Source organism: Homo sapiens, chromosome X (genome assembly GCF_000001405.40).
Source record: "Homo sapiens chromosome X, GRCh38.p14 Primary Assembly".
Lineage (NCBI taxonomy): Eukaryota > Metazoa > Chordata > Mammalia > Primates > Hominidae > Homo > Homo sapiens.
The window spans coordinates 88983782-88991487 of NC_000023.11; the positions used below are offsets into that span (position 1 = coordinate 88983782).

The 7706-nt window shown below is 34.3% G+C and overlaps 1 long non-coding RNA gene across 1 annotated transcript; it reads left to right on the top strand.

The window, feature by feature from the left end:
• Window positions 1-932: 932 nt before the first annotated feature.
• On the top strand, window positions 933-6193 carry LOC107985653 (uncharacterized). The gene is made up of 3 exons (XR_001755987.1): window positions 933-981; window positions 5115-5285; window positions 6034-6193. It is a non-coding gene; the product is annotated as an uncharacterized LOC107985653 (long non-coding RNA).
• Window positions 6194-7706: the final 1513 nt, after the last annotated feature.

Genomic DNA, 7706 nt, shown 5'->3' on the forward strand with positions numbered 1-7706 from the left:
CAGGGATTTTCTGGAGGGAGGGGAGCTCCCAGGCCTCAGCAAATTGTTTTATTAGTTTGAGCCATAAAAGTATTTCAAGCTAGTACCAAGCACCCATAGGAGATTTGTCAAAAGTCAAGGACACCTCCATTCAGAATCCCTTTGTGGTCACCAAATTGTTAACACAAAATATCTGAGACAGCTGTCAGTCAATTTAGAAAGTTTATTTTGCTAAGGTTAAGGACACACCTGTGACACAGCCTCAGGAGGTCCTGATGACACGTGCCCAAGGTGCTCAGGGCACATTTTCATTTTATACATTTTAGGGAGACATGAGACATTAATAAATATATGTAAATTGTACATTGGTTCAATCTGGAAAGGCAGGACAACTCAAAGAGGGGAGGGAGCTTCCAGGTCATAGATAAATAAGAGACGATGAATAAAGGAGGGAAGGGGTTTTTATGTCTAATGCAGGGTCCCTACCTCTGTGTCACTCCCCCATGGGCTGGGGTTGGACTGCACAATCTAAACTGACCCGACTGGCTACTTGTGAATATTTTCCCAAATCAGGAAGGGAAGGGGGATGTGTGAGTGAGTTACAATGGTAGGACTTGTGGTTTCGAAGGGTAGAATAGGTGCAGAGCGGGTAACTAAGGGAACAGATGTGAGTTATAGATTAAAACTGATGGGAAGGTTGTTTAGAGTAACTAGAGGCAAGGAGGCATGGAGAACAAGAAAGTTGAGTTTGAGAACAAAGAACAAGGAAGTTAACAGGCTGAACCTTTGAAGAGAAATTCAAAGAAATTCATTGTATCTTACAAGTTTTTAAAGAAGAGTGTAGTTTAGACACAAAAATGTCTTTGTTAAAAAACAAACAAACAAAAAAACTAAAGTGCACTGTAAAAGCATCACATGGTCTAGCCTCATAATAATTCTTCCTTTTTGGAGACCCAGGATTCAGTGTGGGCTCTGCTCAGAACTCAGAAATCCAGTTAAAAGGTAGGTAGACTCTGTCTAAATAAAATTGATCTCCTTTTATAATCCTATGATAGATTTCTACAAATTTATGTTGGATTTGACATCTATCTTTAATCTCCCTCCAGCATCACCAGACTTTCTCTCTGTATTTTGAGATGTAAATTTCACTATGCTATTTTTTAACCTAAGAGTCCTTTAATATGTAAATGAAGGGCCTTCTAGCTGACAATTGCCTGGGGTAATAAAATAGGAAATTGGAAGTCTAAAATAGGAAGAAAAAATAGAGGCCTTATGAATATATAAGATTTACTTCTATCTATGTATCTAATACATCTATGCATTTATGTATCATGTATATGATGTTTCACTACTAAAAATGTATAAAATAGCTCTAATTAATTGGCTAAAATGCTTAAATCAAATACATTACCAGAAAAATAGAGACTTTAAGCCAAGTGCTTTTTAACGTTCCTGTGATTTAAGTAAATATTTAATAAATAAGCTATTTTTTAAAATATTGGTGAAATAGGATAAAAAATGCCTTGAGAATTGTTAACATACATTGTCTCTGCTAGATGTCAAAATTTGGCATGAGTGTTATAAAGCTATGAATGCAGCTTAAAAGAGAGTTATCTTCGTTTATGTAAAATTTAATAAATAAAACATTTAATATTGTTCAGTTAATGAAAACGACAAAATTCTGACTTATTGGAAAAAAAATAACTTATCTAATCTTAAAATTTTTGCTTAGGAAAACCTGAAATTCACAGGTTATAAAAGTGGTTAACAAGGAAACAACTTTAAATAATAACTATCACAGTTTTCATAAGTAATCTGGTTAAACTATTAAAAAAAATTAGGTAAATGTAATGGAATGTTTAAAAGTAATCTTGTCATATAATATAAAATCTAATGTTATATTAAGCAAAATAATAGCTATTCATTAAATGTCTAGGTCATTTCCAATTTTCTTTAAATAATAGGAAAATATTTTTTAAAAAAGAACTGGGATTTTACTTAAAACTAATTTTTGTCTAATTCAAAGGTTATTTTAAAGTTTTTTATAAAATTAGGTAAAGGCAATCAGTGAATAAAATCAACGTAAAAAATGTTATAAAGAGGTATTTTTGGCAAGAAAGATTAAAAGGAAAATAATTTTATATGAGAATGAATCTTGTATGATAAATTTTTGTCTTAAAATAAAATAAATGGTTATTTAAGACAGAGGGTGCCCATTACTGGGTATATACCCAAAGGATTATAAATCATGCTGCTATAAAGACACATGCACACATATGTTTATTGCAGCACTATTCACAGTAGCAAAGATTTGGAACCAACCCAAATGTCCAACAATGATAGACTGGATTAAGAAAATGTGCACATATACACCATGGAATACTATGCAGCCAGAAAAAATGATGAGTTCATGTCCTTTGTAGGGACATGGATGAAGCTGGAAACATCATTCTCAGCAAACTATCACAAGGACAAAAAACCAAACACCGCATGTTCTCACTCATAGGTGGGAATTGAACAATGAGAACACATGGACACAGGAAGGGGAACATCACACACCGGGGACTGTTGTGGGGTGGGGGGGGTGGGAGGTATAGCATTAGGAGATATATCTAATGCTAAATGACGAGTTAATGGGTGCAGCACACCAACATGGCACATGTATACATATGTAACAAACCCGCACGTTGTGCACATGTACCCTAAAACTTAAAGTATAATAATAAAAAAAAGAAAAGACAGAGGGTGCCTAGGTTAAAAGAGAAACCCAAGCCTGTCATAAAATATTTCATATCAAGTTGTCTATAATTAAAGGGAAATAATTTATAATAGTCTCTCTAGAGATTGGGTTATTGATGTAAAAACGCTTATGCACTAAAGAATTGGTTAGAACAATGACATTTTCTTAAGGGATTGATTTACTCTTAATAAACTATAAGATATTTTAACTTTTTAACCCAAAAACATAATTGTCTCACCATTTTCAGTTTTCTTTCCCACTTCAAAAGGCCTAAAATAATGACTCTCTCCCTCAACTAATTCTCAAGCTTATGCAAGTTCCCCCCACGACCCCCCACCCTCAGTTGCTGTTTGTTGTGGCCTAATGCTAAGAATGTTTTTCTTGAAGGTCTAAATGAAATGTTTTCTTCCAATACAGTATTCTGTGCACCGCAGAAGTTATTTTCTTTTGCCTTTTGGCAACTGGCTGAAAAAACAGATTTTACATTTTATTGAAATAATTCTTATGTCATTGTTATTAAGCTTTAGTTTGCTTAGAAAAAACTGAGAATAATTTTTTTGTAAGCTAAGGTTATTACATCCATGTAACTTTCTGTATGTGCCTTTAAAGTCCTTGTGCCATTGAGTTACAGGGCTTTGACTCTTGGACCTAAAAAGGACACTGAGTCCTGCTAAAATCTTAAACACTGACAGCAGTTAAAGTCTCATCTTCAGACCTGGTAGAAGATGCCATTCACAATAAACTGTGTTTGTGAGACACAGAGCCAAACATTAAAACTGTTCGACTTGGCCGGGAATGGTGGCTCACTCCTGTAATCCCAGCACTTTGGAAGGCCGAGGTGGGTGGATCACCTGAGGTCAGGAGTTTGAGACCAGCCTGGCCAACATGGTGAAACCCCGGCTCTACTAAAAATACAAAAATTAGCTGGGCATCGTGAAGGGTGCCTTTAATCCCAGCTACTTGGGAGGCTGAGGCAGGAGAATTGCTTGAACCTGGGAGGTGGAGGTTGCAGTGAGCTGAGATCGCGCCATTGCACTCCAGCCTGGGCGAAAAGAACAAAACTCTGTCTCAAAAAAAAAAAAAAAAAAAGAAAGAAAAAGAAAAAGAAAAAACTGTTCAACTCCTCAGAGCCCAAGGACTATCATGGAAGAGGTGGGCATGTAAGATTGTAAGGGCTGGCTTTAAGAGATAAAATTAGTTCAGTTTCTCTAGAAATTAACTATTAATATCAAAGGCACACTGATGCAAAACCAGCATCTGGGCCTCGGTGACCGATTAACAAGGTTTTATTGGAGCATTAACCCACTCCTTAATACAAAATTATAAAGATTACAAGAAGGTTAATAGAAATTATATTGTATGGTCAAGATGATTAAATTGTATAGGTTGTTTACAAGATGTTGAGAGACACATTTAATTGACCTTACACTGTCTTTATTAAGGATTATTGTTTGGAAAATTGTCTCCTCTCTCAAATAATAAAGGTTTCCACCTTTTTTGAAATCTGTGGGTTATTACTTTGGCTAAATGAATGACCTGTTTTACAATGACCTGTGATTCTATTCTGGCAATATAAAGTGTTTTAAACTTTTTATGTTCAGCAAGCTTTCCAAAATTAAGTTCTAACTTCAGTCCTCATTAATTTTTGGATTTTGGTTTCCTGAAGTCCAAAAGAGACATATTTGGCTTATTATCATACAAGAAGTATTGTCAAATATGAAACAGTGTTTAATCTTCTTGGGATTATATTTATATAAATGTATTATTAGTGTGTGTTCCAGAATTGTATGAAATTCCTGTGATTCTAATATGTCTTAACGTATGTTATCAGTAGTAATTATGATTATTATGTAAAATCGGTGTATGCCATAGAAGTAAACAAATTTCCTTGTCAATTGTGTCTTTAGCTATGCCTGTTCTAAAACTTGTCATATACAGTTCTTTTTACTTTTATCCTTTTCCAAAGATGTTTTTATAATCAGCTATAGGATTCTGACAGATGCTGTCAAATGCAGGTTTCTGATAACTATGGAGATTGTTACACTAGAATACAGAGAAAACTTCCAAGACTCCCAAGGAGAGTTAAAGATGAGTATCAAGCAGAACAGGAGTTAACTGCATGGACTAAACTTATAGAAGACTGACATAATCCTTTTATGAATTTTTGCTTTAAATATTGCTAATCCTTTGTTTTTGAGAGCCGAGAAAACTGTTCTTTTGAGCTATTTGCAGCTTTTAAGAATTGGGTAAACTATACTCAGATAAACAAAATATGGAACATATTTCTCTCTACCTGATTTATACAAAATTTGAGAAGTAGTTGTGAGTATTCTTTACTTATGGCAATGTAGTTATTTACATAAGTGCATTAAGAATCTGTTTTCTTTTGTAACAGGACACAATTGGAAACACTGGTTATTTTACCAGTGTCTTGACTTGAATGGGGTACTTTCAGATACAGACTCCTTTAAGGAATTAAAGTTAACTTATACAGCCAATAAAAGCCCCTGGGGAAAACTGGCATAATACCTTGTCTAGGCAGCCCTGTACAGACTCCTGACCTATGGTAAGTAAAGAATGTCACTTTCTAACAAGCCCAAGAGCCCCAAGTTTTCCTGCACCCTAAAAGTGAGGAATTCACTCAGCTAATACAGGTATTTGTAGGCACAGAATGGGCTTAAGGCATTAAAGTCAAATCTGAGATCCTTTATGGAATTAAGTTGCAACAAAGCCAAAAAAAAAAAAAAAAAAAGAAGAAGGAGCCTGTATGGCAAATAATTATTTTTTCTCACTTTATGAAAATACTCAGGCCAAGTATCATAAGACTAAAACTTATCTTCCAAATGAATTTGTACTATAATTAGTCTTTACTGAAAATGGGGACTGGAGAGAGAAAAATTGTGTTTCAAAATCAACTATAGTACACCTGTTATTAGCTTCTCGTCTTGCATAAGGCTTTTCAATTTTTATTATTTTCTACAGTTTGGACTAAATTCTGAAACTTTTTGTGGTTACAAGTCCCCAGTATAATGTTTTCCATTTCTTTTCCTTCTTTCTTTTACTTTTAAATTTTTTTTCTGATTTTAAATCACTGAAAACTAAGCTGAGCTTTCTTAAAGCCTTGCAAACTGAAGTTAGGCAAATTAAACTTCAGAAGAAAATAAAAGCAACTTGTTTACATACGTAAGCCACTCTCATACCTGCCTACTGATATATGAACTTCAGAGTTATATGGCCTACATTGATTTTCCAGAATTTTTATATTTTCATTTGTTGTTGTTTTTCACCTTCCTCCCACTATTTGCTCTTCACAGGATGTGAGACTTCACAACCTTCTAAAAATGAGTTTTCCTAACAACATGGGACCTACCCTTCTAGGAATAAACCATCCTAGCCATGAGAAATCAGATGAAAACTGGGACCAGAGACTCTTTTTCTTCTAAAATGCTTTTTCTGAAAGATTTTAAAAAGAAAAGAAGGGAAATGTGAAAGGAAAATAAAATTTTAGACCCCAACACCACTAAGCTAAAGGGAAAAGTCAAGCTGGGAGCTGCTTAGGGCAAATCTGCCTCCCATTCTATTAAAAGTCATTCCTCTGCTTACTGAGATAAATGCACATCTGATTGCTTCCTTTGGAGAGGCCAATCAGCAACTCAAAAGAATGTAACCATTTGTCTCTTATCTACCTATGACCTGGAAGACCCCTCCCCACTTTGAGTTGTCCCACCTTTCCAGATGAATCCAATGTACATCTTAAATATATTAATTGATGTCTCATGTCTCCCTAAAATGTATAAAATGAAGCTGTGCCCAGACCACCTTGGGCACATATCATCAGGGCCCCCTGAGGCTCTGTCACAGGTGCATTCTTATCCTTGGCAAAATAAACTTTTTAAATTGACTGAGTCCTGTCTTAGATATTTTGGGTTAACAGACAAAATAACCAACTTTGCTTCCATTCTTAAACAATACTAAGTTTTGCAGATACAAAACATTTGTAATAGTCAAGTGTTTTTATAAATACTAATATATTATTTAAAGACCTATAAGCATCTTATATATTTTAAAAAATGATAGTAATTACTGAGAAAAAGAAAATAAAATTACAAAATTGCAGATAATAGATCAATAAAGAAACTTTTCAAACCACGATAATGTAGTTCAACCTTCTTATTTTTAATATGAGAAACCAAAACACAGGGAGATTGACTATTACAGGTTTACAAGGTTTTCTAGCTCCCAGTTTAGTGCTCTTTCTTTTCTGTTAGCTTGCCTTCAAATTCTAAACGTTTAGATGTTTTTAAACTATACATATTCTGAGTTATTCAATTCAGAAATAACAGACACAATTTCTTTAAAATAACTCCAACATTTGAAATCTACATATTATAAGAGACCAGAATATGCCATTCCAAAATGTGACTGTAGAAGACTGGAATATATCACATCAAAATATGTCTCTTTAGCATAGGATTATGTGCTGATTATTTTGAGAAAGATAAAAGATAGGAATAGCTCTGTAAACAAAGTACAAGCCACGTTTTGTAATGTAAATTTACATTTATAAAGGAAATCTCCATTTGTAGGTGTGTATTTCTCTCTGTATTAGAAAAAGAAGGATGACTCTAAATCACAATGGAATCTTATCATTTGAAAAGGCACAAATTTAAATCTGCAATACCAACCTTGTTTACTGTGCTTTTTCTGGTCACATTTCCATAAATAATCTCCCTCACAGTCTTCTTTCTTTGCTTTTACCTGAAAATGACATTTAAACCTGAATTCTATGCCACATCTTTGGGAGTTTCTCTTTTGCTGAGTTTTCTCACATTTATATATGAGATATATGTGGAGTCCTAATTAGGGAAAAGGAGTCAGGCTGACAAGACCAGGGGGAAACAAACAGAGCAAATAAGCTTTAAGTATGCTTTCTTTCATGGTCCAGGGCATCCAAACAAATAGAGGAAGCAGATAAACTGTAGATCTG